The 26,284-nt window shown below is 61.9% G+C and overlaps 1 protein-coding gene across 1 annotated transcript in view, besides 19 other annotated features; it reads right to left on the bottom strand.

The window, feature by feature from the left end:
- The window catches only part of TTYH3 (tweety family member 3), a 32,817-nt gene extending 16,327 nt beyond the window's left edge, over positions 1 to 16,490 (bottom strand). Inside the window, exons 1-5 of the mRNA NM_025250.3 lie at positions 16,198 to 16,490; positions 1,454 to 1,623; positions 1,223 to 1,334; positions 838 to 1,058; positions 422 to 517 (exon numbers count right to left, since the gene is read on the bottom strand). Of these exons, the coding sequence (NP_079526.1) occupies positions 422 to 517; positions 838 to 1,058; positions 1,223 to 1,334; positions 1,454 to 1,623; positions 16,198 to 16,320 (722 nt within the window). The 5' untranslated portion in view covers positions 16,321 to 16,490. The remainder of the gene's footprint in view (positions 1 to 421; positions 518 to 837; positions 1,059 to 1,222; positions 1,335 to 1,453; positions 1,624 to 16,197) is intronic.
- Positions 2,672 to 3,235: an enhancer, noted in NCBI's record as "NANOG-H3K27ac-H3K4me1 hESC enhancer chr7:2684875-2685438 (GRCh37/hg19 assembly coordinates)". NCBI's record gives its function as "activates a minimal SCP1, AML or CMV promoter by ChIP-STARR-seq in naive H9 embryonic stem cells {active_cell/tissue: H9 hESC(naive)}" and the evidence as "EXISTENCE:reporter gene assay evidence [ECO:0000049][PMID:30033119]".
- Positions 2,672 to 3,241: a biological region, named in NCBI's record as "Sharpr-MPRA regulatory region 8408".
- Positions 2,947 to 3,241: a silencer, noted in NCBI's record as "tiled region #8408; K562 Repressive non-DNase unmatched - State 7:EnhWF". NCBI's record gives its function as "represses a minimal TATA promoter and a strong SV40 promoter by Sharpr-MPRA in K562 cells {active_cell/tissue: K562}" and the evidence as "EXISTENCE:reporter gene assay evidence [ECO:0000049][PMID:27701403]".
- Positions 3,472 to 3,591: an enhancer, noted in NCBI's record as "active region_25541". NCBI's record gives its function as "activates an Ori minimal core promoter by ATAC-STARR-seq in GM12878 lymphoblastoid cells {active_cell/tissue: GM12878}" and the evidence as "EXISTENCE:reporter gene assay evidence [ECO:0000049][PMID:35858748]".
- Positions 5,996 to 6,667: an enhancer, noted in NCBI's record as "H3K27ac-H3K4me1 hESC enhancer chr7:2681443-2682114 (GRCh37/hg19 assembly coordinates)". NCBI's record gives its function as "activates a minimal SCP1, AML or CMV promoter by ChIP-STARR-seq in naive H9 embryonic stem cells {active_cell/tissue: H9 hESC(naive)}" and the evidence as "EXISTENCE:reporter gene assay evidence [ECO:0000049][PMID:30033119]".
- Positions 6,610 to 6,849: a silencer, noted in NCBI's record as "silent region_17883". NCBI's record gives its function as "represses an Ori minimal core promoter by ATAC-STARR-seq in GM12878 lymphoblastoid cells {active_cell/tissue: GM12878}" and the evidence as "EXISTENCE:reporter gene assay evidence [ECO:0000049][PMID:35858748]".
- Positions 6,610 to 7,429: a biological region, named in NCBI's record as "H3K27ac-H3K4me1 hESC enhancer GRCh37_chr7:2680771-2681442".
- Positions 6,668 to 7,339: an enhancer, noted in NCBI's record as "H3K27ac-H3K4me1 hESC enhancer chr7:2680771-2681442 (GRCh37/hg19 assembly coordinates)". NCBI's record gives its function as "activates a minimal SCP1, AML or CMV promoter by ChIP-STARR-seq in naive H9 embryonic stem cells {active_cell/tissue: H9 hESC(naive)}" and the evidence as "EXISTENCE:reporter gene assay evidence [ECO:0000049][PMID:30033119]".
- Positions 7,290 to 7,429: an enhancer, noted in NCBI's record as "active region_25540". NCBI's record gives its function as "activates an Ori minimal core promoter by ATAC-STARR-seq in GM12878 lymphoblastoid cells {active_cell/tissue: GM12878}" and the evidence as "EXISTENCE:reporter gene assay evidence [ECO:0000049][PMID:35858748]".
- Positions 10,032 to 10,703: an enhancer, noted in NCBI's record as "H3K27ac-H3K4me1 hESC enhancer chr7:2677407-2678078 (GRCh37/hg19 assembly coordinates)". NCBI's record gives its function as "activates a minimal SCP1, AML or CMV promoter by ChIP-STARR-seq in naive H9 embryonic stem cells {active_cell/tissue: H9 hESC(naive)}" and the evidence as "EXISTENCE:reporter gene assay evidence [ECO:0000049][PMID:30033119]".
- Positions 10,704 to 11,377: an enhancer, noted in NCBI's record as "H3K27ac-H3K4me1 hESC enhancer chr7:2676733-2677406 (GRCh37/hg19 assembly coordinates)". NCBI's record gives its function as "activates a minimal SCP1, AML or CMV promoter by ChIP-STARR-seq in naive H9 embryonic stem cells {active_cell/tissue: H9 hESC(naive)}" and the evidence as "EXISTENCE:reporter gene assay evidence [ECO:0000049][PMID:30033119]".
- Positions 13,404 to 14,136: an enhancer, noted in NCBI's record as "H3K27ac-H3K4me1 hESC enhancer chr7:2673974-2674706 (GRCh37/hg19 assembly coordinates)". NCBI's record gives its function as "activates a minimal SCP1, AML or CMV promoter by ChIP-STARR-seq in primed H9 embryonic stem cells {active_cell/tissue: H9 hESC(primed)}" and the evidence as "EXISTENCE:reporter gene assay evidence [ECO:0000049][PMID:30033119]".
- Positions 14,869 to 15,601: an enhancer, noted in NCBI's record as "H3K27ac-H3K4me1 hESC enhancer chr7:2672509-2673241 (GRCh37/hg19 assembly coordinates)". NCBI's record gives its function as "activates a minimal SCP1, AML or CMV promoter by ChIP-STARR-seq in naive H9 embryonic stem cells {active_cell/tissue: H9 hESC(naive)}" and the evidence as "EXISTENCE:reporter gene assay evidence [ECO:0000049][PMID:30033119]".
- Positions 14,980 to 15,089: an enhancer, noted in NCBI's record as "active region_25539". NCBI's record gives its function as "activates an Ori minimal core promoter by ATAC-STARR-seq in GM12878 lymphoblastoid cells {active_cell/tissue: GM12878}" and the evidence as "EXISTENCE:reporter gene assay evidence [ECO:0000049][PMID:35858748]".
- Positions 16,140 to 16,549: a silencer, noted in NCBI's record as "silent region_17882". NCBI's record gives its function as "represses an Ori minimal core promoter by ATAC-STARR-seq in GM12878 lymphoblastoid cells {active_cell/tissue: GM12878}" and the evidence as "EXISTENCE:reporter gene assay evidence [ECO:0000049][PMID:35858748]".
- Positions 16,140 to 17,065: a biological region, named in NCBI's record as "H3K27ac-H3K4me1 hESC enhancer GRCh37_chr7:2671045-2671776".
- Positions 16,334 to 17,065: an enhancer, noted in NCBI's record as "H3K27ac-H3K4me1 hESC enhancer chr7:2671045-2671776 (GRCh37/hg19 assembly coordinates)". NCBI's record gives its function as "activates a minimal SCP1, AML or CMV promoter by ChIP-STARR-seq in naive H9 embryonic stem cells {active_cell/tissue: H9 hESC(naive)}" and the evidence as "EXISTENCE:reporter gene assay evidence [ECO:0000049][PMID:30033119]".
- Positions 24,688 to 25,197: an enhancer, noted in NCBI's record as "H3K4me1 hESC enhancer chr7:2662913-2663422 (GRCh37/hg19 assembly coordinates)". NCBI's record gives its function as "activates a minimal SCP1, AML or CMV promoter by ChIP-STARR-seq in primed H9 embryonic stem cells {active_cell/tissue: H9 hESC(primed)}" and the evidence as "EXISTENCE:reporter gene assay evidence [ECO:0000049][PMID:30033119]".
- Positions 25,987 to 26,281: a silencer, noted in NCBI's record as "tiled region #835; K562 Repressive non-DNase unmatched - State 7:EnhWF". NCBI's record gives its function as "represses a minimal TATA promoter and a strong SV40 promoter by Sharpr-MPRA in K562 cells {active_cell/tissue: K562}" and the evidence as "EXISTENCE:reporter gene assay evidence [ECO:0000049][PMID:27701403]".

Raw genomic sequence — 26,284 nt, 5'->3', positions numbered from 1 at the left:
TAAGCCACCTGCCCAAGGTCACCCTCCTAGTGAGCCGGAGCTGGGGCTGGAACCCAGGCTGCCCCAGGGCCAAGGATGGAAGGGGTGGAGGAAGGAGCCCCAGCCTGGTCTCTGGGTGGCCCCAGGCACTCGGAGACCTGGGCAGGTTGCTTCAGGTCCTGGGCTACAAGTGCCCCACGTGCAGACTCTTGCAGGAAATCAAGGGCTGGGGGCAAGTGTGCTGGGATGCTGGCCACAGGGGCACAGGCCACAGGCACAGAAGGGGCATCTCAGAGCAGGCCCAGTGCAGGGGGGTCCCGCTCAGCCCCCACCGCAGAGCTTGTGGCTAGGATCTGCAGATGAGGTGGGGGAAGGGGTAACATGGTGCCTTGCCCTGCCCCTCCGCTTTGGGCCCACGGGGGGCCGACACCCCCAGACTCACCCCACCAGGATGCCCTTGGAGCTGCGGATGAGGCCAACCAGCACCAGGAGGCAGATGATGACGTCCAGCAGCAGCAGGCCCAGGTAGCCCAGCCACCTGCAGGCAAACCTGGGAGTGCGCCAGGGCACAGGGACCCGGGGCCTGGGAGTGGGGCGCCAGGGGCCCTTGAGGGGGAGCTGAGGCCAGCAGCCTGGCACCCCAGAGGGCATTCAGAGCGTCTGGGTCATGGGGACTGGTGTCAGTTCTTGAGAAAGGCTCCCATTAGGGGAACTCCAGCCACTGCCTGTGACCTCCAGTGGCCCTGGGCCACACCCTGCCCATCAGGCCTCATGTACTAGGTGCTGAGAGCAAAAATTGGCCCAAGGAGGGTGATGCTTTCCCACGTGGGGCGGGCAGGGAAGAGGGCCTGGCCGCACCTGTACCAGTCGTAGAGATCCACCTGCTCCGCCAGCACCTCCAGCGACACCGCCGTGTTCCTCCAAAAGGGGATGGCGGCCGTGTAGCCCAGCAGCGTCTCCAGCAGGCCCTGCAGCCTCTGTACGGCTCGCAGGGGCTCGGGCCGCCCGGCCAGCTGCCGCTCCAGGGTCTGCAGGCTGGGCTCCGCCGTGTGGTTCAGCCCCACCGCCGTGTCCCACACCTGCGCCGGACCCGCGGGCGTGAGGCTGGGAGCGCGCCCGCCTCGCCCCAGAGTCTGGGCCCCTCCTGCACAGCCCCAGTCCCGGCTGCCCCGCCCGTCCTCGCGCAGACGTGGGGCTCCGGAGCAGCAAGAGTGCTCCTGGCCCCAACTCCGCGGCCACTCACGCGGTCCTGGACCCCGGCCACCGTGCGGTTGGCGTGGCGGAGCGAGTAGGTGGCCCTATGGATGCCATCACTGGTCTCCCCGTTGCCGTAGAATCCCACTGCGATGCCGGCGCTGGAGAGGGCGGGCCCGTGAGATGTAGCCCCGCCCACCCACACACACCCCACTCCAGCCCCGCCCCCTCGGGCCGCCCCCTCTGGCCCCGCCCTCCGTCCCCGCCCCACCGCGCTCACCTGCACACCAGCGTGGCGATGATGACACACCAGGCCGTGCAGCAGCAGTCGGCGTCCAGGTGCTCCTCGCTCTTGCGCCGCCGGCAGCACAGCCAGAAGGAGTAGAAGAGCAGGAAGAGGAGGTCCAGGGCGAGGCAGGCCAGGGCGGCGGCCCCCAGGAGCAGCAGGGCCTGAGGGCAGGCAGGAAGCGGCGCTGGAGGGGTGGACCCCCAGCTCAGAGTCCCACGCCCCGCCCCAGCAGGGGACCTGGCGCAGACTCCCATTTAATCCTGCCCCCAGCCCTGGGAGGTGGGCCCCATCCCCGACTTGTAGGTGAGGCATGGAGTCTCCCACCACCTCAGTGATGCACCTGGGGTCACCCAGGCCTGGACCCCACACCTGGGACCCCGGTCTCGCCATCCTCAAGGCTGCACAGCATGAAGACTCCATAGCCACTAGGAGGGGCCGGGTGAACCGACTCCAGGCTTCTGTGGCTCCAGCAAGGGCACATGTCCCCTCCCCACCGGGTCCCCAGAGTCCAGGGCAGGTGCTCAGGACGTCTGCCCCACCAGGCCCCAAGGAGAGGCGCTGGATGGAGGTAGCCAGAGAATGTGGGTGACAAACGAGGACGCTGCTGGTGAGCCACCATCTTTGCAGCCACAGCCCCACTAGGGAGGTCCCTCCACCTCTCCGAGCCTGGTTTATCTTCTGTAGAAAGAAGTGCTGCTGAGCAGGGCAGGGTGGCTCACGCCTGTAATCCCAGCACTTTGGGAGGCCGAGGCGGGCGGATCACCTGAGGTCAGGAGTTTGAGACCAGCCTGGCCAACGTGGCGAAACCCCATCTCTACTAAAAGTACAAAAATTAGCCAGGCCTGGTGGCGGGTGCCTGTAATCCCAGCTACTCAGGAGGCTGAGGCAGGAGGATCACTTGAACCCGGGTGGCGGAGGTTGCAGTGAGCCGAGATTGCACCACTGCACTCCAGCCTGGGCGACAAGAGCGAGACACTGTCTAAAAAAAAAAAAAGTGCTGCTGCTCCCCCGAAGAAGCGAAGCCCTGGGGAGGGGGCTGCCGGCATCAGCTACTGTCCTCACCCCCAGCCCGAGACAGCCCCAGGACCCCAGAGCCCGTCCCCGTCTCAGGCCCAGAACTCTCCTACCTGAGTCCTGGCAGGATCCCCCACCCCAGCTGTAGTCCTGAGGTTTTCAGGTCTGGTAGGGAAATTGGGAGCCTGTGGGGGACTGAACCCCCTCTTGCTGACCATGAAAGTGTTTCTGAGGGGTGAACATGGAAGAGGCCCCATCAGGAGTCTGATCCTGTCTGGGGTCTGTGCACCGAGAAGCTGCACTCAGGGGTGGGCACCGTCCATGGCGTGCCCCCACGCTGGATGAGATGGTGGGGCTGGCCCCACACTGCTACAGGCTGCATACAGGCGCCCCATCGGACACACAGCCCTGTCTGGCTCCAAGCACGGCCTTCCAGTGTGGCTCTCCCCAGGTCTCTGAACACAAAAGACAGACCACAGAACAGACACCAGAGCTCCCCTGTCCCGAGGCCAGGCGACCCCCACAGGAAGTGGCTAATTTGATGCAACAGTGACATTTCCTCAGCACCCGCTGCGGGGAGGGAGGGTAACGTGGCCCCAGAGCTGTCCCTTCTCCTGGCACTGCATTCGATCTGCCTGGCCGAGTGCTCTCACCCCATTTCATCCACAGGGAAACTGGGCTTCATAGAAGCTACAGAGAAAGCACACAGGCCCTGCAACCCCAGGTCCCTGGATTCAGCATAGCCCTGCCCCCGGCTCAGCCCTCCAGAACCTCCACACACTTCCTGTGCCGGGGGAGGGATGGGGAGCTGATACAGGGCTGCGCCTCATCATGGGGCCAGGGACCACCTAGAGGCTAACTTGGGGGTGCCCTGGGGGGTGTCAGCAGCTGGGGCCCTCAGTGTTGTGGGGTGGCCACCAGGCACACCTGCGCTGCCCTCATTGGCACTACTGCAGAGAAACGCCTCTCTCCCCACATCTCAATGCTTCAGCAGTGTGGCCCTCTTGGGACCCCAGCCTTGGGAGCTGCTGGGGCAGATGGTCCCCTGCCTGGCCCCCCCTTGGGATGAGAGGCTCAGCCACAGTGGGCAATGGGATTGCTGCTGGATCTCCCAGGAGACGGTTGCCAGGCAGTGGGAGGATGCCGTGTCCTGCCCTCCAGGAAGCCGGCCGACGTCCACACCCGAAGGCGGCCTTTCCACCTCCACCCAGCCAGGGAGGTGCTGACCAGCCCGGCACACCCAGAAATGAGCCGCCATGGTCCAAAGCCACACCGGTGTGTCCACGGCTGCCCAGCAGCCAGCAATCTGGGCACTGCAGAGCATCAGGGGCGGGCACCCTCCCACTCCTTCAGCCATGCACAAGTGCCTACCGCCCCTGCAATGGCAGGAGGACTGCTGGGCCCTGCACCCCCACCCTCCAGGGGCAGGACCCAGGGCTGGCACCAGAGCCACTGAAACTGAATCAGCTCAGGGCGGTCTCATGGTCCCAGGGAGCTCATGTCACAGAGGGGTCCTCAGGGCCCAGTAGGGCTTACCCAAGATCACACAGGGAGGCGGAGACAGTCCAGTCACTTGGCAGGGCCTCATATTAACAGTCCCAGCACGGTACCCATGCTCTGTGCTCAGTGGGTTGTCTATAAACGTTAGGGAGCTTGGAAAAGCCACGCTCTGGGGCTCCCTGGGTCTGCCCTTGCCTGTGTGGGGCTGGGAATGGAGTGGAGGTGCTGACCCCACCGGCTGTGACTGCAGGCCCTGCCAGTACCCTCCTTATAGCTCAGAGGCCAACGGCAGAACAGACCTGTAGGGGCAGCTGACCATGCCCCCCGGGACCAGAGCTCCACAGGACCCATGCCCACGTCTGCACTTCCATCCACAGGGCCTCCCCTGGGCTCCCATGGCCTGGGGGCCATGTCAACCAGCCGCATCTTGGCCCCGGGCTGGTCAGACTCCTCCAGCGAGCCCTCCCTCTGCTCTCCACTTGCAGAGGCCTCCCCAGTCCCTGGCTGGAGTCACCCTCGCTCCCCCGACCCTGTGCTCCGGTGGGACATGACTCTAGGAGGGCCTGTCTGTACTGCACCCCACATCTGGGACTCACAGCCTCGCAGGGAAACTCCTCCTGGGGTGAGGAGCTGGGGACTGGAAGAGCAGGTCAATCCCAGACACGCATTACGCAGAGCCTAAACAGGTGTGACCTCCGCAGCCACCGGCCTGGCATGTCCACCCAGAGCTCGGGGCATCAGCGTACATCAAAGGGCTTCCAGGTCCAGATCACTTCCTCAGCGGCGCCAGAGCCACCCACTCCCACTTGCCAGATGAGAAAACGGAGGCAGAGCGAGATAAGCCCTGGCCAAACAGGATCTGGGCGAGGCAAGCCCGTCCCTCAGATGGCACTGCCCTGGTGCAGAGGGCTGATGCCCAGGGGCAGTGGGCAGGGGACGCCCATGCCCGGTGGGGAGAGGCTGCTAAGCACCAGGCACCCTTGCCCTTGGCGCCGCCTGCAGGGTGGTGAGGGAACACAGGCACTCAGCATCATCGTAAGTGAACTGTGAAGCCTGCTGGATGGTGAGAGACGCTGAGAAAAACAGAAAAGGCAGCACAGGAGCTGGAGTACCGGGGACTCTACGATTTTTTTTTTTTTTTTTTTGAGACAGAGTCTCGCTCTGTCGCCCAGGCTGGAGTGCAGTGGCGCCATCTCAGCTCACTGCAAGCTCCGCCTCCCGGGTTCACGCCATTCTCCTGCCTCAGCCTCCCAAGTAGCTGGGACTACAGGCACCCGCCACCAAGCCTGGCTAATTTTTTGTATTTTTAATAGAGACAGGGTTTCACTGTGTTAGCCAGGATGCTCTCGATTTCCTGACCTCATGATCTGCCCGCCTCGGCCTCCCAAAGTGCTGGGATTACAGGCGTGAACCACCGTGCCCAGCCTTTTCTTTTTGAGATGTAATTTCACTGGTGATGCCCAAGCTGGAGTGCAGTGGTGTGATCTCGACTCACTGAAACCTCCGCCTCCCAGGTTCAAGCCATTCTCCTGCCTCAGCCTCCCAAGTAGCTGGGATTACAGGTACCCGCCACCAATGCCTGGCTAATTTTGTATTTTCAGTAGAGATGGGTTTTCACCATGTTGGCCAGGCTGGTCTCAAACTCCTGACCTCAGGTGATCTGCCCGCCTTAGCTTCCCAAAGTGCTGGGATTACAGACGTGAGCCACCACACCCAGCCCAAGTCTACGATTTAAAAAAAAAAAAAAAAAAGAAAAGAAAAAAATTATTTTAGAGACAGGGTCTTGCTCTGTGGCCCAGGCTGGAGTGCAGTGGCACGATCACCACTCACTGAAGCCTCAACCTCCTGGGCTTAAGTGATCCTCCTGCCTCAGCCTCTCAAGTAGCTTGGACCACAGGCACATATCACCACGCCTGGCTAATTTTCTTTTTCTTTCTTTCTTTTTTTTTTTTTTTTTTTTTTGAGACAGAGTCTCTGTCACTGAGGCTGGAGTGCAGTGGCATGATCTCGGCTCACTGCAACCTCCACCTCTCAGGTTCAAGTGATTCTCCTACCTTAGCCTCCTGAGTAGCTGGGACTAGAGGCATGCACCAACACACTTGGCTAATTTTTGTATTTTTAGTAGAGACGGGGAGTTCACCACGTTGGCCAGCCTGGTCTTGAACTCCTGACCTTAGGTGATCTGCCATCTCGGTCCCCCAAAGTGCTGGGATTACAGGCATGAGTCACTGTGCTTGGCCTCTGCCCTAATTTTTAAAAAAATTTTTTGTAAAGACAGGGTCTGGCTATGTTGCCCAGGCTGGTCTTGAACTTCTGGGCTCAAGCAATCCACCTGCCTCGGCCTCCCAAAGTGCTGGATTACAGGTGTGAGCACCGCGATTGGCTGAGGCAGCTTTCTCTTGTTCTTGCCTGGATGGGGCCAGCTGCAAACGGAGCCTCGCTCCTCAGCCCCTGGGGGCCAGAGGCCAGGCTTCGGGGCCCCTGCCAGGACAGCCTCACTTGGCTTCCCCCAACTGAGGAAGGAGATGGCGCCTCCCTCAAAGGGAGCCCACTTGGGCTGCCCGGGTCCCAGCCCACCACTGCGAGCATGCAGAGCCTGGGTGTCAGGGTGCTCAGCAAACCGGGCAGCTGCTTCATCCCACGTCAGAGCCCCGGCACCCAACGCGCCAGGCCTGAGCCCAGCTGTCTGCGGGGAGCGTGCCGTGGCCAGCCTGGCCTCTGCACCCACTTCCCGAAGCCAGATTCCCAGCAGACGGTCTCCTGCGGGGCACCGGGCCAGCGGCATTCCTACGGTGGCCCAGCCACCTCTCTCCACCGGGCTGGCGGCCCCTCCGCCCCTCCCTGGCCCATTCAGAGAAAGAATGGGAACTGTCTGATCAGCAGCTGGGCTCTGACCAAATGGAATTTTCCGTCTGTGGTGGAAGTGATGTAAGGGCTCGGTCAGGCGAGGCGAAAACTGCACGCTGGGTTCCGCGGAGCACACGGAGAGGACTCAACTGCCACACATGTGCCAAGGGGGCTGGGGGCGACCCCCTCCTGCAGCCTCAGTCCCCCTGCCCCCACCCTAGGGCTCCTGGTCTCGGCCCTGGGCCACCCCCTCCTTCTCCAAGCCCCTGCAGCCCCACAGCCACAGACGGCATCCATGGGGGATGCCCCCTCCCACCGTGAGCCCAGACTCCCCCGACTGCCCCGCAGCCCCCAAAATGCAGCCCCCAAAACCCCACCAACTCTGGAAACACCCAGCCAGCCAGAGAGCCGGGGCCTGAAGCCTTACTCTGTCCCAGATCAGGTTGCTACCGATAGGATCCCAGTATACCCTGGGCCAGAGCAAGACCTCCCTGGCCTGGCAGGGATGCCTGGGGCACTGGCTGGTGAGGAGCGGGCAGGGCTGGGGTGTGGCTCGGGGCAGGGCTCTGTGGCCTCTACACCCAGGCATATGCTGTCCCTGGGCCTGGAGCCTTCCCCTTCAGGGAAGCCCCATTGTCCCCATACACAGGCCATCTCCTCCAGGATGTCCCCAGGATATTAGAGACCCAGGCCCAAACCCGGTGCTGCAGCCTTTGCTCTGTGTGAACCTCGGCTGGCTCCGCACTTGTAAGGCGAGACCCCCAACCTGACCTGGCTGCCTGCACAGGTGGGTGGCCCCAACCCAGCCCTGCTTGGAGAAGGGAGGGCCCAGTGAGCCACAAGGCCTTAGGACGGCCCACGGGGCACTTGAGCAGACGACGTGCACGAGCAGCTGTGAGGCCTGTGCCCCACGCCTGCCGCGGCCTCCTGGCCATGCCCACTCTGCCTCCAGGCCCTGTCTGGACGTGACTCCCATCAGCCACACAGACACAGGCACCCCCCAACGCAATGCCAGGCTCAGCGCCAGCACAGGCCACACCACACCAGGCTGCCAAGGTGGGAGGGCCATGCATGACAGCAGGGCAGGGCACACTGCCTGCCACCTGCACAGGTGGCTGCTGCTGGGCATCCTGGTGGCTCCCGGAGCACCTGGTGGCAGGACCTGGGCCTGGCAGCGTGTGAGGAAGCATGCCACTCGGGAGGGTGCACAGCAAGTCACGGCCGGCCTATGGAACACACGTCCCCCCCCACACACACACAGGCGGCTGCTCTACATGCACACGCCTGGGAGCAGCTGCCCACCCCGCTACCCTGCGCCACGGACCCACACGCCGCTCTGTGCCACCAACCTGTGGGCTACCGTGGCGCGTGGCTGGGCTGAGGAGGCCCTGGCCCACTGGGGGGTGCTCACAGGGACTCTGATGAGAAGTTTGGCCCGATGCAGCCTCCAGCCCCAGCCACAGGCAGTGGCCACGATCCCACCACCCTGCCATTCCAGCCACGGCTGCTCGCTCCTCGGCTGGACACTGCTGCGGGTCTGCCCTGAGCAGGGAGGGAAGCGAAGACATAGGGCCCGTGTCCTGGAGCCACGCTGCTAGGCACAGGGAGTTCCAGAGTCCACAGTCACACAGCGGGGGCGGGTGAGCTGGCAGGCCAGGCAGCGTGACCACAGCTGAGGATGATGGCTGCCCGAGGCATTGGGAGAGACCAGCGAGCCCCAGGGGTGCAGCCACGGGGCACGGTGAGCAGGGGTGGCAGGAGAAGCAGCCCCCGGTGGCCAGAGAAGGGGTGGGCAGAAGGTGGGTTCCAGCCCTGCCCCGCCCCTCGTGCCAGCTCCGTGTGGAAGTGACACAGCTTGGAGGAGGGAAAGGGACAGGCTCCACAGAGGCCACTGAGGGGCCAGAACCCCACCAGAGGTGCCGGCATGTGACAGACACACAATATGGTAACGGCCACACAGCCTGACTGCAGTGGGGACAGAGTCACCCCCGGCTTCCTGGATGGGGACGGAGTCCCCACACTGACGGCTGTGGTCCTGGCTGGGCTCCGGGCTAATTGGGAGCATCAGCTTCCAGGGCATCTTAGCAGCAGCTTGCGCTGGGTGCTGGGGCCCAGGCTTGGACAGACAGCTCGGCCGCGCTAGGTCGGGGGCTCCCCTGTGCCCACAGTGCTGGCCCCGTGAGCTCGGAGGCTGTGGGAGGCAGGAAGAGGAATGAGGCGGTCACTGAAACTCCCGTTGTGGGGAGCATCGTGGGTACCGCAACAGGTGGGGGAGGGCACTCTTGGCCCGGGGACAGTGTCAGCCAAGGCCTGGCACAGGGTCCAGGCGGCAAACGTCTCCTGCATGCCGAAGATACACTGGCAGCAGGGACCAGCCAGGCCCTGGCCTGAGCCTGTGCGTATGGCAGCAGCACGGGGCTCCGGGAGGACGTGGCAGGCGAGAGGTGGGAGTGGGAGGGGAGTGACCCCCACCTGCCTCCACGGATGCTGAACTCCAGCCCTGGAACTCCCAAGGCCCCTCCTCCAGAGGAAGCAACAAGGTTTGGGGGTGTCTGAGAGGCTGGCTGGGGTCCCACACCCCAGTGCAGACCGAGGGGTTCTGGCCCCCAGCACTGTGAGAACCCCCCAGGTGTCCTGGGCCAGGGTCAGGAAAGGGGCGGGATCCCTAGGGCCCAGACTTGTTTGGGGAGGCCAGGGTGGGCTCGGCGTGTGCGAGCCACTACCACCACCCCCATGTCAGGGGCCCGCCACTGGGAAGTGGGTCCCCCTACCTTTGCCTCGTGGGTCCCCTTGCACAAGTGGGGGGTCCAGGGTCACAGTCTTTGGCTAGGCCTCAGCCCCCCATGCGGCCAAGCTGGACACGTGGCCCCAGCCCCTACCCATAGCACACTCGGCCCAGGCTCCCAGCGACACTGGCCCAAAATTAAAAACAGATTTTCCACCAGGCTGGGTTTGGGTTTCACGCATTCCATGACGGTGAGCTCCTGGCCGTGCCTGGAGGACGTGCAGCCAGCAGCGGCCACGTGGGAGCCGGGGTCGGGGCCAACTTTGTGTCCCTGTCCCCAACTCCTGAGGTCCGAGGTCCAGGTCGCCAGGCTGCACATGGCCCCACACCCCCCGGGGCTCCCTCCGGGCTGGCCCTCACCCTCCAGGAATGGCCTGGAAGGAGGCCAGAGAGGCAGCCCTGGGGCTGAGGCTCAGAGCCGCTCCTGCCCGTCTCCCCACAGGCCGGGCCCCTTTCCTGCACCCTGTAGCCGGGGGACCCCAGCTCTCCCGCTGCCCACGCCCGCCCTCCCCCTCGTGCAAGGAACAGACACCAAAGAGCTGCAGCAAGCGTGTCTATTTTGGTCCCCGTGCTCCGACACATCTCCCAGCGTGACACCCGGAAAATCCCCTGCTCTTCCCACTTGTCTGCAGCCCTCTGCACCAGCTGCCTGGGGACCGGGCCCCAGGCCTCAGACCCAGCCAGGAGCCGCCAGACTGGAGCCCCATCTCCGGGATCAGCTCCCTACCAGGGAGAGGCAGCCCAGAGGGCACGGCCGAACCCCAGACACAGGGCTGCAGGGCTCAGAGCTGGGTGCACCCCAGAACTTCAGGAGTGCTCTTCCACGATGGCCAGGAACCCAGCCAGCGTGCACAGGCCCGAGGGGGGCAGAACGGCTAGGGGCACTGTGGCTGGTACCCTCCTCAGAGGCCGAAGGCACTGGCACTCTGTGGGTGGCCCGGCTTCCTCCCACACCCTCGGCCAACATGGGCCTGACCCAGCCACAGTGGGTGCTGCCCCACAGGACTCAGGTCTCAGCCAGCCTCCCAAGACTGTGAGAAGCCCCCTCGGATGGTGTGAGGCCCAGCACAGGGCCTGGGTGGGCTCCCTGCAGAACATAGCGGCAGGCCCGGGTACAGGAGGCCCTCCTGTGACCCTCCCACACCCACCATCCACCCGCTGTCACATGCCAATTCCCCGGTGGCCACGTCAGGCACTTCCCATGTCCTTGACCCCAGGCCCCTGGCTGCAGATTCGGTTCCTCTTCTCTAGCCGAGGCCTCAGCAGAACTGACGGTGGGGCAGGTGGGGGAAGTGTAGATGCCCCTGAGCCCCCTAAACCTGCACCCCTGGGTTCACGAACTGTGCTGACGCTGTATCCACTGGGACGGACGTGGCTGGGCTGCAGCTGGAACCCGTGCCCAGTCTTCCGGCCCCCCATGCTGGCCGGCCCCCGTTTCTGCTTATGTCGGGGACACAGTGTCCACCTCCCAGGGCCACTGGGTGGCTCTCCAAGAAAAGTGCTTTAGAAACGAGCAGCACAAGCATCCGGGGAGAGCCGCCGTGGCCTGGGGAACCAAGCTGCAGGGCTCCCCGCTCCCCCAGAGCCTGACCAAGAGCCCCCGGCCGGGGGTCAGAGCGGCTGACACTGCAAATCCCTTAGACGGGGTTGGCTGGCAGGGCCTGCCCAGGGGTCAGGGGAGGAAGAAGGGTCACCATGGAGATGCCCAGAAGAGGGGTCCTAGAGCTGGCCCTCGAGTCTCAGGCGAGTGGGGGGCAGGCGGGGGTCCCGCACACACAGACTGGAGTGGCCCCTGGTGATGCTAGAACTGGGGAGATCAGGGAGCCAGCACCCTGAGCAAGAATAACCACCCCAACATCCACACCTACAAAAAGCCGTGAAGACCTCGGGGACTTCTAGAGGGTCCCAGGCTGCTGCACTCCAAGGAAGGGGCTTGAGAACCCCAGAGTCTCCTGGGGACAGAGGTGGCCAGAGTACCCTCAGAACCACAAAAACCAGGAGCCCAGATATAGGAACCCTTGATGCGGGCAGCGGCCGGGCCAAGGGTGGCCTGACACCCACCCCAAGCAGGTCCAGGGCCCACAGCTTCACACCCCCTGGCCAAAAGGCAAGCTCAGCCAATCGGAGTCTCCCCAGGAATGCAGACACCGGCCAAGATGGAAATCCTGAGTGGACTGGGACCAGCCATCAGGGGCTTCCTGCCCACCTCCACCCCCCAATGCAGGGTCCCATTCGCTGTACACCCCCAGCCTAGTTCATCAGCTCCTGTCCACTCAGGGATTGCTCCTGAAGCTTCCACCCAGCTCCCCGGGGGCCTCCGTGTCTGGCCCGCTTCTGTCATCTGTAGGTACAGAATCCTGCCTGGCACCGTGGGACGCTGGACAAGCATCTGGAACACGGTCCAAAGTACGAGACATGTCAAAAGCAATAGGATTCCAGTTCTCAGGGACACCCACCCTACAGCTCTATGCTCTTGGACTGAACCCAGCTGGAGGGACGCTTCTGTCTCACGCTCTTCCCTTTTCCCCAAATGTTCCATGAACGTGTACTGCTTTCGTAAATGACAAGACAGGCGACAGGCGACCAACACTGCCGTTTTAACCAGAACTCATTTCCTTCTGATGAGTGGGGAGGATGATAACAGGCCAGCCCTGCCCCAGGGAACTGCCCCCCAGGCTGCAACTGGGCACAAGGCTGACCTCACCTTGTGGCGGCACAGACAGAGGTGTTGTGCTCTTAGGAGCCAGGCTCCCAACTCTGCTAGGAGAACACTGGCCCTACTCCCAGAGCTCAGATCCCCTCTGAGTGGCCATCCAGCCTGGGCTGGCACAGTGCCTGGAACAGAGGGCTCACCAGTTCCTGAGGCAGCACATTCCCCGTGCGCAGTCAGACCAGAGCGACCCTCTGGCACGTGGGGCTGAGGCCTCTCCCCGAGGCTCAAGCTTCTCTCTGCCTCAGGGCCTTTGCACCTGCCGTTCCCCCAGCCCAGAAGCTCTTCCCCAAGGTCTCTGTATGGTGACCTCAGTCTTATCATTAAGGTCTCAACAGAAACATCTGGGCATTCCAGGCTCTAGTGGAAAACACGTCCCCCATGCTAGGCAAACTGAGGCAGGGCCCACTATCTGCCCTGGAAGGCAGATGTCCCAGTGAAACCATCACCTGCCAGGGCCAGCACGGCCCATGGAGGAGTCAGAAATGAGCAGGCAAATCCTAACCCTCTGATTGTCGGCAGCCGGGCTTGCAACCTCCATGGCAAGCCAGTTAACACCACCTCCTGCAGGAAGCCTTCCCTGACCACTGGGCTCCCACCGCCTGGGTTCGCAACCCACCACAGTCCGTAGCTGTTGTCCTGCATCTGGCCTGCCCTGAGCTGGAGGAGACAGCCCGAGAGAGAGGCTGAGGTCAGTGGGCATGAACTTGATCCCTGCCTGAGGACACGGGGTCACAAAGGGCTGGTGGGAGCTGAGCAGGCAGGCCTCCCCCGAATAAAGCCCAGGACAGTGTCTGGACCACCCAAGGTCACGCAGGAAGAAGCGACAGAGCGAGGGTGCAGGCCTGCGATGCTCTAGCTGAAGAGAAGGCTCTGCTGCCCTCAAGGGCCCCTGCCCGGGGCAGGACAGCCAGACCCACTTGACATTCAGGACTCACTATGCAGCACTGACTGGCCCCGGGCCACGCCAGAGGCCTCAGGCCCAGCCCTGCCAGCTCAGCTGCAGGGCCACCAGGGAGTCTCAGGCCTCCTGTGGGCCTCCAAATCCCTCCTGTGAACAACAGCCCCCCATTCACTCAGATGCTCAGGCAGCACGGGAGCCCCTCTCGACAGTCACTGGCTGGGGAGCTGCACAGAGCCGACCCCAGATGCCCCTCCACCCCCTGCCCTCTCACAGCTCCCTCAGCCCCCATCAGCTTCTAATCCCACGGTCACACCCCCAGCGGCAAGGCAGCCGTGGGGGAATCCGGGGAGCCTGCGACTCCAGGCTGACCCCGGCTCCTCGGGGGGCCGGACGAGGGACCTACAGCAGGGCTGCGGCCCCACCACTTACTCACTATGTGATTCGGAGCCTCAGTTTGCTAATCTGTACAATGGACAACTCTCCCCACCTCCTGGGGCTGTGGGAAAAGTGACTAGTGACAGGCAGTCCCACGCAGGGCCTTGAAACAGGACCTGGCCCTGGTCCCTCCGGGGGTTTCACCAGGGTTCCCAACAGCAGACCACGGGGGCCAGAAATAGCAAAGGACAAAGGCCAGTCCCCCGTGCCACACCCCCAACTCCCAACCCCAGGCCCCACCTCCCCTCCATCCCCCCGCCCCCATAACCACGGGGCAGATGCCCACTCCCCAGCAGGGCACAGCCCAGGTTGGGGCAGCACAGAGACAGCTAAGAGGGAGCCCTCAGTCAGGATGGGTGAGGGGTCCACCCCCCACTACAGCCAGCAACTCCTCACCAGGGGAGGCAGGAAGGGGCGCCTGCCACAGCCCAGGCCCACCCACTGCCCATTCTCCCAGGAAGGGGGCTCCTGGCCCTTGCCTCCCAGGGGTGACCCTACACAGGAGGCACGGCCAGCCCAGATTCAGGATGAGGCAATGAAGGCTCAGAGACACCAAGCAGTTGCCGAAAAGCACCAGTATTGGAAGGGCAGGGGCAGGACGCACGCCAGGACCAGCTCACGCCACAGCCCCTCGCCAAGAGCCGGGAGTGGAGGCGGCGGGGGATGGAGGCAGGCCGGTTTCCACATCGTGAATTATTCAGTGGCTAATTCTGCTCTGTGGAGATGAGGCAGGAGAGAGAGTGAGTCAGAGCCCTCCCACAGCAGAGCAGAGCGCAGGGCAGGGGAGGAAAGGGGGCAGAAGCCAGGGCCTCCCAGGGCCATAGCACCCTGCTGGAGGCCAGGCAGGTCAGGCTGAGCAGAGGGGCCTGGCTACTGCCCGGAGGCTCTTGTGGGCTGCAGACATCATCGCCCCTCACTCCCTCTCACTGCCTGTCTCGAATGTGGGAATGCAGGCACCCCGGAGGGCTGGAAGGAAGTCCAACTGTGGCTGGCAGCTCGGGCAGGTGGCAGCCCAAGGGGCAGCAGGAAACAGCCGCCCCCCACGCCCCAGGGCTGCCCCGGAGCTTAAGAACTGACAAATGGGCCAAACCCTCAGGGCAGAGAACTTTCCAAAGTGAAGCACACCCTCCTTGCAGCTTCAACAGAGTCCTCCAGGGACAAGTGGCAAAGCCATCAGCATGGAATAAGTTCCAGAAGTTCCTGAATGTGCATTGCCCCCACACTGAACGGTCCCCCAGGGCTGGGCTTCTAGAACGCAGGCGTGAGATTTTATACCAATCCTTCCGCCTCCCTCCTCCCTGCTGTGTCTGGGCGTGCCTGGGCCGATCCCTCGCCCCCTTCCTCATCTGTTAGGAAACGTCATCGGCTCGGCTGGGGGGCCTGGGTGCAAGTGAGCGCGAGGCTGGGAGCAGTGGGCTCCCAGGTGCCCTGCTCCTCCACTTCCGCCTCCCTCCTCTGGATGCGGGAGGCCACAGACAACGCAGTTCTGAAGAGTCCAGGTGCTAGGCTGCCCGCGGAATACCGGATTCCCAAGCCATTTTGATAAGCAAAGCCATCCCCACCCCACCATGGGGCTCTGCCATGATCCGTCCAGAGAGAAACTCCGGGTGACCAGGGACCCTGGTCACGGGGCTTCTGGAATCCGGATCTCTAGGCAGGAAGGAAATGCCCACAGCTTGGTCCCCTGCCCCGCACTCAAATGACAGTAGCTTGGCGATGGGGGTGGTGCTGGGGCCTGGCATGATGCCAGGCTAAGGGCTCCCCTGGGAGAGGGCTGCAAAGGGCCCCCAGCCGCCCCCCAGGTCTGCCTGGGCTCAGCCGCTTCCAGCCTCCCTGCCTGAGGCCCACGGTGCTTCCTGGCCGCCGGGCCTCCCTCCCCCGGGGGCTACAGGCAGCCTGGTCTCCCACGGCCACACACGGCACCCTGTGTACATCCCACAGCCTGACCGCCAAGCAGGGGGTCATTACCGGCCACAGAGGGCTGGCGGCGGCCCAGGCCATTCACCCACTGGAAGCCTGGCAGTGGGATTCCCCAGTCGGGGGTGAGTGGGCGAGGAGTCTCTGCCTGCCTGCACCCAATGTGCTCAGGCACCCGCTCTGATCTCAGAGCCTGGGGGTCATCTGGGGAGGGGTCTCTGCTGGGACACAGCACCAGGCCGCCAACAGTGATGGTGGAGAGGCCCTCCACTGGCCAAGGGGGCTCACGGAGTGGGGAGAGGCAGCTCCATGAAACCCAGGGGCCTTAGTGACACCAGAAGGGAAGGCCAGAATCGGGAGGGGGGCCGTGGACCCTCACTGGGGGTTGGAGGGTATTTAGACCTTTGAGGAGGAGGCCATGACCCTGGAAGAAAGGGTCCTAGGACTCAGAAGGGACCCTCGAGAAGGAAGGAGGCCGGTACCTGCGAGGAGGAGGTGGCCGTGACCCTGGAGGGGGGGATGAGGGGTCTTTAGGCCCTCGGGGATGGGGGCCGTGACCCTGGGAGAGGAGGGGGCCGTGACCTGGGGTCCCTGACCCCGCGACCCCGAGAGGCCCATGTCACCTGCTGGTAGTCGGTGTCCTCGGGCCGGAACTGGCTGCTAGTGGCCTCCCAGCTCAGGTCGAAGTGGGGCAGCCGGTGCAGGAGGCTCACCCACCAGGGCGCCGCGTAGCTGACCCCGGCCATGGCGGGGCCCGGCCGCCTCCGGATGCGCGCGGCCTGCGCGGGGCTCCCTTGCTGGCCCGGGGCGCGGGCTTCAGGGACCCGTCGACCCCCGCCTGGCCGCCCGCATCATCCGCGCGCTCCTGGGCCCGGCCCGGCCCGGCTCGGCCCGGCTCGGCTGCGCTCGGCTCCGCTCGGCCGCCCGCGCCCGCCGCCTCTTTGTTCGCCGCCGCCGCCGCCGCCCCCTCCGCACCCCCGCCCGTCCGCCCGCCGGCCCCGCCCCCGAGCCTCCATTGGCCCGCCTCCCGCCAGCCCAGCCCCCGCGCGCCCCGCCCTCTGTCCCGCCTCTTACCCACCATTGGTCTATCCCCCGCCGATCCCGCCCCACAGCGTGCCCCGCCCACTCGCTCCTGAACCTCTATTGGTCCTTTTACCTGATGGTTTTGCCCCTCCACTCGCATCCCCGCCCATTACCCAATGGCCCCGCCCCTCCACGTGTCCCCGCCCTTCGGCCCCGCCTCTGTACCGTCATTAGTCCGCCGGCAGAAGCTCCGCCTACTTCCTCGCCTTCTTGGAGGGACGCCTGGCCCCTAAGGCGCTGGAAGACCGACCCTCAGCGCTGTAAGACCCGGGCCAGCCAGTCTTTCCACGTGGCCGTGGGGGCTGGAACCCTGGCTGCATATGCAGCTGCGCTTCATTCCATGAATTCGCTCTTCGTTTGGATCTTTGCATGTTTCTTATTTGACTCGAGGGTCCGGCCTGGTGGGCTGGGCTGGTCTTGGCCTCCCCATTGCACACACAACAGCCCACAGCCCGCAGCGCCCAGCAAGGCACCGAGTGGCCTATCTGTACAATGGACATGATCTGGATTCAGGGCCTGGCTGGGGCACCTAGAGCTGTGTGATCTGGGGCAAGTTACTTAACCACTCTGTGCATCGGTGTCCTTGTCTGTAAAAGGGGATGATAAAGCTACGAGTGTTGGCAGGGCGTGGTGGTGGTTCATGCCTGTAATCCCAGCACTTTGGGAGGCCGAGGCAGGCGGATCACCTGAGGTCAGGAGTTCGAGACCAGCCTGGCCAAAATGGTGAAACCCCGTCTCTACTAAAAATACAAAAATTAGCCAGGCGTGGTGGCGGGCGCCTGTAATCCCAGTTACTCTGGAAGCTGAGGGAGGAGAATTGCTTGGACCTGCGAGATGGAGGTTGCGGTGAGTGGAGATTGCGCCACTGCACTCCAACCTGGGCAACAGAGTGAGACTCCATCTCAAAAATAAAAAAAATTTTTTTTAAAAAGGTACGAGTGTTAAGTGGATCCGCAGGTAGATTCAGTCCCCATCCGGCCTTCCCTCTGGGGAAGGTTGAGTCTTTTGTCAAGACCTAAGATGAAGACGGTGCCCTGTTCTGGTGTCCTGGGGCCTAAAAATTCAGGCACCTGCCAGAGAGGGCCCATCATGGGCTTTGGAGCCACACAGCCAAATTTCCTAACAGGGCCTCCCCATGCCTGTGCCTCCTCCTTTGCTAAAGGGGAGATGGGAGCTGCCAGAGCCAGGAGGATGGACATAGTGCGTGCTTGGGCCCAGGTGCACGCCTCCCTCCGCACTCTAGGGCAGTGGGTGCATCCTGGCTCTGCTTCATCACCTGGGGCCTTATTCCTGGACCTCCTGTGTACTGAGAAACAGGTTTCCACACCCGGGCTCCACCATCTGCTGTGCCCGACTTGGCCAGCTCTGTGGGCAGGCAGGCCGTTCCTGGCAGGAAGAGCTCTTTGCAGGCAGGGACGGTTCCGGGCAGTGTCTTCCCAGGAGGCCTGGACTTTGGCTCATTGACTGCCCTGACTCGCCTGTTTTCCTGTGATAGGGCACCGGGCAAGAGGGACTAGCTGAGCTGCGGTTTCCACCCGCTGGATAACTTGGAGACACCACCCAGCTGGGAAATAACAGCCAGGCAGAAGGGGGGAGGTCGCATTCTCCATCCCTAAAGGCCGAAGAGCCAGAAATTTGGGGTGGGGTGGGGATACTGGCTCAGGTTCCTCTCTCTCCAATGCCAAGGATGGTGGGAGCTCCAGGCAGAATGAAGCCCCCCCCAACCCCCTAAGACCAAGGCTACCTACTTGGAGTGGGCTGGTACCTGGCCAGGTGAGTCCTCTTCTTTGGCGCCAGCTGATTGCTCACTGTGAACAGGTGGCTTAGGCAGGACGCCCACTCCTAGCCTGACACTGCTCCAGCATCCAGCCTGTGACCTCATCTCCACAGCCAGGGGATCGCCTGCACGGCCCGTGCCCTGGGCTGACTCTGACCTCAGAGTTCTGTGTCGCATAACTCCAGGGATGAACAGGGCAGTCCCTGGCCAGCTGCAGAAATTGTCCTCATGGCCTGAGATCGTTTCTGGTTCCTGCTGTTAGCAGCAGCTCCCATGGCCACAAACAGACCTCCTGCTTCCCCCCACCACAACTCCAGTGCCCTCCACACCAGCCTGGCAGCCCTGCCAGGGTACACACATGCAGGCAGGGGGTACAGGAGTTCCTTCCCCTGTTTCCAGAAGCCTGGCAAAATTGTACCTTTCCTTTTGATAAAGCCAGAAAGTCTGATGCAGACATGATGTGAGATGATAACTTAGGGTCAGGCACAGTGGCTCACGCCTGTAATCCCCACACTTTGGGAGACCGAGGCAGGGGAGATCGCCTGAGGTCAGGAGTTCGAGACCAGCCTGGGCAAATGGTGAAACCCCGTCTCTACAAAAAAATACAAAAATTAGCCAGGCATGGTGGCACATGCCTGTAATCCCAGCTACTCGGGAGGCTGAGGCAGGAGAATCGCTTGAACCCGGGAGGTGGAGGGTGCAGTGAGCCGAGATTGCGCCATTGCACTCCAGCCTGGGTGACAGAGCGAACTCCATCTCAAAAAAAAAAAAAAAAAGAAAGAAAGAAATGATAACTCAGGTGTAGTGGATTGAATTATGTTCCCCAAAAAGATATGTTCAAGTCCTAACTCCTGGCACCTGTGAACGTCACCTTCTTTGAAGAAAGGGGCCGGGAGCAGTGGCTCATACCTGAAATCCGAGCACTTTGGGAGGCCAAGGCAGGAGGACCGCTTGAGGCCATGAGTTTGAGACCAGCCTGGACAACATAGTGAGACCCTTCTCTACAAAAAAATTTAATCAGCTGGGTGTGGTGGCTTGTGCCACCACAGTAGTTCCAGCTACTTGGGAGGCTAAGGCGGGAGGATCACTTGATCCTAGGAGATCTAGGCTGCAGTGAGCTATGATCGTGCCACCGCACTCCAGCCTGGGTGACAGGCTCATGCCTGTAATCCCAACACTTTAGGAGGCTGAGGCGGGCGGATCACCTGAGGTTGGGAGTTCCAGACCACTTTGACCAACATGGAGAAACCCTGTCTCTACTAAGATTACAAAATTAGCTGGGCGTGGTGCCATGCACCTGTAATCCTAGCTACTCAGGAGGCTGAGGCAGGAGAACAGCTTAAACCCGGGGGGACGGAGGTTGCAGTGAGCCGAGATCACGCCATTGCACCCCAGCCTGGGCAACAAGAGTGAAACTCCATTTCAAAAAAATAATAAATAAATGAGAGTCTTTGCAAATGTAATCCAGTGAAGATGAGGTCATACTGGGTTAAAGTGTTCTCTAATGCAAAGATGGTGTCCTTATAAGAAAAGATAAATTTGGACACAGACTCAGAGATACAGAGACACAGAGGGAAGCACCCGTGTGAACACGGAGGCAGAATCTCAGGGATGCCGCCACAGCCCTGAACGCCGAGGGGCCACCAGAAGCTGGCAGAGAAGCCTGGGGCGCTCCCTCCCTCAGAGCGCCCCGCCTCAATCTCAGCCTTCTGGCCTCCAGAACCGTGAGACAATGCATGTCTGTGTTTGAAGCCACTCAGTTTGTGGAGCTTTGTCACGGCAAATCCAGAAACAAACACACCGGCTTTCTCAGAGCTTCCTGGTGGCCAGCGCCCTGTGCCTCTGATGGTATGGGATGAAAAGGTACTGATGACTGAGTAATATTTGCAGTGTGTTTGGGCCATGAAATCTATTCCTAAGGGGCCTGTGGAGGAAGAATTTGGTAAAAGGGATCCAGGGTGGAGAGAATAAGGGGCCCACAGTGAAGGTTCTGGAAGAACACAGCCAGAGTCCCTACCTCACCCCCGTGCAATGCTGCTTGGGATCCGGGTGTTGAAGAGAAACTCCGTGGGTCCCTCCCTCCAGCTGCCAGGAAGGGTAAAGGAGAGAAGGCCAGAGAGAGGATCTAGTGTGGGCCAGGGCATGGAGGAAGCTCCGCCCACCATCCCACCTGCTTTGACCCGACAGTCACTGCCCAGAGCTGTGTGGTTCTTCCCATCTGTCCTGCAACCACTGTGGCTGGAGGCTGGACTTTAGTCCCACTCTACAGACGGAGCAACTGAGGCCCGGTCCCCGCCATTGCATGGGAGGCCTTGAGAATCACAAGCTGGTCAGGGAACCAGGGTTCAGCCTAGTTCCAGGGGCCCTTCCTCCCTCCCCACTTCTTCCCTCCCTCCCTCCTTCTGTCCTCCCTCCCTTCTCTCCTTCCCTCCTGCCTTCCCTCCCTTTCTCTCCTTTCTCCCTCCCCCCACCTTCCTTTCCTCTCTCCTTCCTCCTCCCTCCCTCGTTTCCTCCCTCCCTCTCTCCTTCCCTCCCTTCCACCTTCCTTCCCTCCATCTTTTCCTCCCTCCCTCCATCTTTTCCTCCCTCCCTCCTTCCTTCTTTCCCCTCTTTCCCTCCCTCCCTCCTTTCCTCCCTCCTTCCCTCCCTCCTTCCCTCTTTCCCTTTTTTCCTGCCTCCCTTCCTCTCTTTCCCTCCTTCCCTCCTTTCTCCCTCTCTCCCTCCCTCCTCTTCCTCACTCCCTCCTTTCCTCCATCCCTCCCTCCATCTTTCCCTCCTTCCTTTCTCCCTCCCTCTTTCCCTCTCTCCCTCCTATCTCCCTTTCTTCCTCCCTCTCTCCTTCCCTTCCTTCTTTCAAGTGAAATAGGGATTGTGAGCAAAAACCAGGCCTGGGAAAGTCTGTGAGAGACTGCTGAGGCAGTCTGGCACGGAGGGAGGGGAGCAGCCAGGCCAGGAGCTCCCAGGGTCTTTCCCCTACGCCAGGAAGGCGGCAGGGTTGAGGCTCCCGAATGGTTGTCCAAAGGCCTGCAGGCACCGGAGAGAGGCCAGGCCTGAGCTGAGCATGGCCAGGCCTGGACCGCTCCTCCAGATGCTGGGGCGGAAGCCAGAACAATGGAATTCCCTGTGTTTGGGCCCCATCCAAAGAGGTTCACATTTTCTGTGGAGACGGACCTCACTGGCCGGGAAGAGAAGGCTGCGGGGCTGGGCTTCCTGGCGCCTGCTAAGATGAGGCTGGGTGATGCTGTGGTCGCACAGCCAGCCGGTGCCTGGCGGACCACAGACACCTGGCTGATGGATCTCGGCCGCAGGGGAGCCACAGAAGCACTGCTTTCAATCTGGGTCTGAGGCAACTGGCCCGCAGCTCTGGAGGCTGGGAGAGGTGCCAGCCAGCATGGTCCCCAAGAGGACCACGGAGCAAGCCACGCACACCTGGCCAGAGTGAGGATGTGAGCACCTCTCATTATCTGGGCTCACCTGGCCAGCAGCCTCGCCTTGTCCAGAAAGCCACTGGGAGCCAGGAGACCAGTGGGGATGGCCTCTGAGCTGCCAAGAATTCTGTCCCAAGTCCCATCACTTAAGTCGAGTGTCTCATTCAGAACCTCCCTACTTGCCACATAAGACTATCAAGACCGGGTCTCAGAGTCCCAAGCCCAGTGTAGATTGAAAATAGTGCCCTGAGGCCAGGCATGGCGACTCATGCCTATAATCCCAGCACTTTGGGAGGCCGAGGACGGCAGATCACCTGAGGTCGGGAGTTCGAGACCAGCCTGACCAACATGGAGAAACCCCATCTCTACTAAAAATACGTAATTAGCCAGGCGTGGTGGCTTATGCCTGTAATCCTAGCTAGTCGGGAGGCTGAGGCAGGAGAATTGCTTGAACCTGGGAGGCGGAGACTGCAGTGATCACAGGCAATGAGCCGAGATCACGCCATTGCACTCTAGCCTGGGCGACAAGAGCGAAACTCCGTCTCAAAAATAAAAAATAAAAAAAAAGAAAAAGAAAAGAAAAGAAAATAGTGCCCTGAGGTCAGGCATGGCAGCTCACGCCTGTAATCCCATCGCGTTGGGAGGCCCAGGTGGGAGGATCACTTGAGCCAGGAGTTCCAGACCAGCCTGGGCAACACAGGGAGACCCCATTTCTACAAAACATTTCAAAAATAGAGGCCGGGCGCGGTGGCTCACGCCTGTAATCCCAGCACTTTGGGGGGCCGAGGCGGGTGGATCACGAGGTCAGGAGATCGATTCCATCCTGGCTAACATGGTGAAAGCCCGTCTCTACTAAAAATACAAAAAATTAGCCGGGCGTGTTGGCGGGTGCCTGTAGTCCCAGCTACTCGGGAGGCTGAGGCAGGAGAATGGCGTGAACCCGGGAGGCGGAGCTTGCAGTGAGCCGAGATCACGCCACTGCACTCCAGCCTGGGCGACAGAGCAAGACGCTGTCTCAAAAAAAAAAAAAAAATTAGCCTGTCCACGCAGCCCCACCCACCAGCTAGGTTTTGTTGCAATGAGCACTGTGCTGAGAGTTGTGAGACCTGGGACTTATGTCAGGCTTGGCCCAACTGCTATGACCCCTTTGGGAACCCATGTCACCGACGGGGGAACTTAGCGTCCAGTTTCCTATTTTAGAGATGGGGAAACTGAGGCTCCGAGAAGGGAAGAGATTCATCCCACACCCATAGCCCTGACTCACTGAGGAAACAGCCATTTTTTTAAAAAAGAATGAAATCATGGCCTTTGCCGGAACATGGATGGAGCTGGAGGCCATCATCCTAAGTGAGCTCACACACCGCACGTTCTTACTCATAAGCAGGAGCTGAGCAATGAGTAAGCATGGACAGAAAGAGGGAAACAATAGATACCGGGGACTCCAAAATGGGGGAAGGGCCGAGCGCGGCGGCTCACGCCAGTAATCCCAGCACTCTGGGAGGCCGAGATGGGTGGATCACTTGAGGTCAGGAGTTCGAGACCAGCCTGGCCAACATAGCGAAACCCCATCTCTACTAAAAATACAAAAATTAGCTGGGTGTGGTGGCACATGTGTGTAATCCCAGCTACTTGAGAGGCTGAGGCAGGAGGATCGCCGGAGCCCAGGAGGTCAAGGCTGCAGTGAGCGGTGATTGCACCACTGCACTCTACAGCCTGAGCAACAGAGCAAGACCTTGTCTCAAAAACATAAAAACAAAAATGAAACGAACAAACAAACAAAAAACAAAATGGGGAAAGCTTTCTTAATGCTCTGATGCTTTCAAGGGATGTTCGTTGTCTGCCAGTAAATTCCTGCTCTGGGGGTGCCGGGAGCCGGCTGAGTCTGAGCAGGATATTCATCAAGACCCAGGACTACCGTCTCTTCCTGGCGGCCTCCAGTGCCCCAATTCCAGGAGCAGTGGGAGAGGGTATCTGGCCACTCTGTGGGCTGCAATTGGCATTGGTGACAAAGGCTGGCTGAGTCGCTGTTGGCAGGTGGACCACCGACCCCACTGCCTGAGCTTGGTGAGTAAGACGTCTTTCACCGACCTTCAGAAACAGGCCAGCAGCGGGCGTGGAGGGAGGCGCTGGGGCAGAGTGGGTGGGGAGGGGTTGCCGGATGGATTCTCACCTCCCTCTCGGGAGCCCCGCCCGCTGCTCTCACAGGACCACAGGCTGTCACAGGCTTGAGCTGCCAAGGAGACACTGCTCCCCCTCCAAGAGCAGAGACCTTTCGGCCAGGCAACTCTCTAAGCCTCAGTTTCCCCAGCTGTAACAGGAGGAGGGTCATGCTTCTCTCCCTGGGTGGGTACTGGGATTATGCTGGAAAAGGGGTGTCCAAGGCCAGGCCCCACATAACCTGCGTGCTCTGCCCCATGTCCCCTTGGGGGACCCTGTCCTCACCCCACATCCACTGTGTCTCTGTCTGGCCTGGGCAAGGGAGTGTCCTGCACCCTCTAGGTTTCAAAGCCTGGATCTGACAAACTTCACTCCCCCACGCATGGGGAAAGGCCAGCTCAGCTTCCTTGGCTGGTTTTCTGGTCAGGGTGGGCCCAGGAGCCCAGGGAACCCGGGGTCTCCCTCACTGGGCCGGGCAGGCTGCTGGGTCTGGGGATCCTCTGGAGAGCTGATCCTCCCCTTGACATGCCATTTCCAAGGCAGGGGGCCCAGGAGGGAATGCAGGCCCCCCCAGCACCCCGGAGGCTTTGTCCAGAACACAACACCCTGGAGACCCGGCTCAGCGTGGGAGGAGTGCTGTGCGTGGAGGTGGGCAACAGGCAGCCCCTCCGTGGCCTCCACCCCTCTTCCAGCCCCCAGCCTAGGACAAGCACGGAAGGTTCTAGAGGCCGCTCTAGGGGTGGCCTACTTGCCCGGAGGGGCTCATCTCATGGGAAAGGTCTGGAGGCAGGAGGTGGGGCCTTTTTTGGGTCACGTGAAGATGTCCAGGGGCCACCTGGGGAAGCCCTTCAGAGGCATCACCATCCTGCCCCTGGCAGGGCCGCCTCCTCCGGGCACACCCAGTGCCAGCCACCATTCAGGAAGGGCTCTCCAGCTCCACTCCTGCCAGTCTCAGCTCTGGAGGCTCGGAAAAGGAAGTGTCTTGCTCAAGGTCCCCCGGAGCACGGGGCAGCAAGGCCCTGCCCTTTGTCCTGAACTTCTCTGCACCGCCCCAGTTCATCTCTGTCAAGGAATCTGGCCTGCTGCCCCCCTGCCAGCCCCTCCCTGGCCTCCCAGGGCCTCAGGACCAAGTCCAGAGTCCTCCCAGGACTGGCGAAGCCTCCACATCGCTCCCGGGGGTGGGGGGCAGTGCAGGGGCGCAGGGCTCTGGAGAGGAGCAGGCAGAGGCTTCTGGAAGTGAGATGGTGATGGCAATATTATGAGGGCCAGGGCCGGGCCTGGGATAGACGCTTAGGATGTGTGTCTGGGATGAATGGTGTTTTGCTCTTCCAGAGCTCTGCCGGCTGGCATAGGCCCTCCCCGCCCACTGGCTCACAGCTACCCAGAGACAGGGCCAGCACACCCTTGGGTACAGATGGTGAACCTCAGGCTTGCCACAGGTCGCCCGCAATGGGGGGTGGGGGGTGTGTTGCGGGGGGTGGTGCTGGCTGGAACCCTGGGCTGAATTCTTTTACCTGCAGGCCCAGGACCCCCATTTTCCTTCCCAGACATCCCAGCTGGGCCTGCAGCCTGGCAGGGAGGACGTGGGATGCAGGAGGCCCTGCCGGGCTTAATCAGTTGGGCTAGAGTGGAGGCCCAGCTCTGGGGACCCAGCCCAGCCTCCGTGGACCCCAGAAAGCCCTCTCTGCTCCACAGGGTCCCTGTGAGCACAGAAAGGCTGGGGCAGGAGGAGATGGGGGCAGGAGGAGCAGGGGGAGGTGGGGGCAGGAGGAGCAGGGGGAGGTGGGGGCAGGAGGAGCAGTAGGAGTTGAGAGGAGGAGGAGGAGGAGCTGGGGCAGGAGGAGCTGGGGCAGGAGGAGCTGAGGCCGGAGGAGCTGGGACAGGAGCAGCTGGGGCAGGAGCAGCTGGGGCAGGAGCAGCTGGGGCAGGAGGAGCTGGGGCAGGAGCAGCTGGGGCAGGATTTGCTGGGGCAGGAGGAGCTGGGGCAGGAGGAGCTGGCCAGGATGTGGCTCCATTCCAGGGGGAGGGGTAGGTGGAATGTGCTCCCCCTCCCCTGCCTGGCCAGGCCTCCTTCCCCTCTGCGTCTCTTGGCCAACAGCCAGGCTGTCCCCTTCCGGGGGCCCTGGGCTCTCTCCTCCATGGGGTCAGCACGTATGTGGTTCCTCATCAGCCCATGACGTCCCCTCCCGCTCCCAGCCTCCCCTTCTCAAATGCAAATCCGATCCTGTTCCCACAGCTCTCAGGGCAAGGTCCCCCAGCCCGGCC

Source organism: Homo sapiens, chromosome 7 (assembly GCF_000001405.40).
Source record: "Homo sapiens chromosome 7, GRCh38.p14 Primary Assembly".
NCBI classification, from domain to species: domain Eukaryota; kingdom Metazoa; phylum Chordata; class Mammalia; order Primates; family Hominidae; genus Homo; species Homo sapiens.
The sequence above is the reverse complement of the archived record's forward strand: the minus strand, read 5'-3'. Positions and strand labels throughout refer to the sequence as shown.